The sequence below is a fragment of the Homo sapiens genome, chromosome 22 (assembly GCF_000001405.40).
Source record: "Homo sapiens chromosome 22, GRCh38.p14 Primary Assembly".
Lineage (NCBI taxonomy): Eukaryota > Metazoa > Chordata > Mammalia > Primates > Hominidae > Homo > Homo sapiens.
In genome coordinates, this window is record NC_000022.11 from 28,877,566 (window position 1) to 28,880,172 (window position 2,607).

Here is a 2,607-nt window from a genome sequence, read left to right on the forward strand (position 1 = left end):
TGCGTGAGCCACCATGCCCGCCCCTTTTTTCCTGAATATTTTCTATTCATGGTTTATTGAATCCATGAATGCAGAACTCACAGAAATGGAGGGCCGACTTTTCAGAGACAAGTAAGTTTCCCTTGATTCCTTGCCTCCCAGTCACCAAGATGCCTCTCCCGAGACAACCATTTATTAGTTTCTAATGTCTCCTTCCATATGTAGGTAATGTTTGCAAACCTTAATGTATCTGTTGTCTACTCACCCATCCCTCTTCTGTTGTAGAATGCCATATGCATCTGTATTTATTTGGCACAGATACAGTCTCTTTAGGTACTAAATCATATGTTTATGAATTTGAAATCCCTGAACTTCCGTATTTAGACATATAAATAGAACTTTGCTAGTAGAAAATTTCCTGAAGCTTTGTGTGGTTTTTGGCCTAAGTCAGTGAGATTTGCCAAAGGTTTGGCAGCTTTAGCCAATGCTGATGCACCTGTTCTCAGTTATTTGCTTCTGAGCTGTGTCTGATAAGCAAGAAAAGGTGTAAGCTAAATTACACCCAGGATGATCTGCTAGGGATGTGCCATACAAGATAATGAATGCGCTTCTCTTCTATCACTTGGTCCAGCTTGTGGATCCCTTCCTTGTCCTGGCTGACGGGTCTTATCTCTTATTTGAAGTTATTTTCTTTTTCTTTTTCTTTTTTTTTTTTTTGAGACGGAATCTCGCTCTGTCGCCAAGGCTGGAGTGCAGTGGCGCAATCTCAGCTCACTGCAAGCTCCGCCTCCCGGGTCCACGCCATTCTCCTGCTTCAGCCTCCCGAGTAGCTGGGACTACAGGCGCCCGCCACCACGCCCGGCTAATTTTTTTGTATTTTTAGTAGAGACGGGGTTTCACCTTTTTAGCCAGGATGGTCTCGATCTCCCGACCTCGTGATCCACCCGCCTCAGCCTCCCAAAGTGCTGGGATTACAGGCCTAAGCCACTGCGCCCGGCCTCTTATTTGAAGTTATTTTCTGTCTCCCCTTGCTGCCTGCCAGATTTTGGTGAAACTTCATTACTCAGTGAATAATTCCTTTCTGAACAGCTTCACACTGCTGAAAGATGAATCATGCTACCTCTGTGTTGCTGAACTATATTTTATTAACGCTATGTTTCTCTTTCTTTCTGTCTCTCTGAGACACAGTCTTGCTCTGTTGCATAGTCTGGAGTGCAGTGGCACGATCTTAGCTCACTGCAGCCTCCACCTCCTGGGTTCAAGAGATCCTCCCACCTTACCCTCACAAGTAGTTGGAACCACAGCTGCCCACCACCAAGCCTGGCTAATTTTTTTTTTTTTTTTTTTTTTTTTTTGTAGAGATGGTGGTCGCTTTATGTTGCCCAGGCCCTTCTTCCTTTTTCTTTTTGAGAGATGGGGTCGGGTGGGGGGAGGGGGGAGGGATAGCATTAGGAGATATACCCATTAACCATGAGTTAATGGGTGCAGCACACCCGCATGGCACATGTATACATATGTAACTAACCTGCACATTGTGCACATGGTACCCTAAAACTTTAAGTATAATAATAATAAAATAAAATTTAAAAAAAAAGAGAGAGAGATGGGGTCTTGCCATATTGCCCAGGCTGGATTTGAACACCTGTGCTCAAGGGATCCTCCTACCTCAGTCTCCTGAGTAGCAGGGATTATAGGCACATGCCACAGTGCCCAGCTTTCATATCTTTCTTTTTCTCTCTCTCTTTCTTTTTTTCTTTTTCTTTTTTTTTTTTTTTGAGATAGAGTCTCACTCTGTTGCCCAGGCTGGTGTGCACTGGCGTGATCTCGGCTCACTGCAACTTCTGCCTCCTGGGTTCAAGCGATTCTCCTGTCTCAGTCTCTCAAGCAGCTGGGACTGTAGGCATGTGCCACCTCACCTGGCTAATTTTTTTGTATTTTTAGTAGAGATGGGGTTTTGCCATGTTGGCCAGGCTGGTCTCGAACTCCTGGCCTCAAGTGATCCGCCCTCCTTGGCCTCCCAAAGTGCTGGGATTACAGGCATGAGCCATCGTACCCGGCCTCATATCTTTCTTTAAGCAGACTTTAAAAAATCAAAACTGATTTGTTCTCTGACCCTTACGTGGGTTTGCATTGCATTTCTTGAGGAAAGGATGGTCATTCTTCTCCACACTCAGAATTTATTTTGGTCCCATGAAGCCCAATGCTCCAATGCAGCTGTTAACAAGCTGCCCCAAATGTTTGCAAAATGGGAGGGATACAAATTGATGAGGTTATCACTCATTCATTTAGTTATTAATTCATGCAACAAATATTTATTGAGTGCCTACTCTGGGTCAGGCAGCCTCGGCCTAAGTCGCTGAACAAGACAAAGATCTCTCATTACAGAGCTTGTTCTCTGGTATGTGTGCATGTGGGGTGTGGAGGACAGACAAAAATAAATATGCAAATTATTTAGTATGTTAGAAGGTGATAAATGCCACAGGGGTAGGGGAAGGCAGGCCAAGGGAGGATAGGAGTGGATGACAGGGGGCACGTTGCAGTTTAAAATAGCATTGCCAGGGTAGTCCCTGTTGAGGGTGTGAAATGTGCGCTAAGACTTCAAAGAGCAGAGGATATCCTTATGCTGTA

The 2,607-nt window shown here is 44.7% G+C and overlaps 1 annotated feature.

The window, feature by feature from the left end:
- Nucleotides 1,842-1,943: a silencer, noted in NCBI's record as "fragment chr22:29275395-29275496 (GRCh37/hg19 assembly coordinates)". NCBI's record gives its function as "represses an EF-1alpha promoter that drives an FKBP-Casp9 reporter gene in an ReSE screen in phorbol 12-myristate 13-acetate-treated (for megakaryocytic differentiation) K562 erythroleukemia cells {active_cell/tissue: K562(+PMA)}" and the evidence as "EXISTENCE:reporter gene assay evidence [ECO:0000049][PMID:32094911]".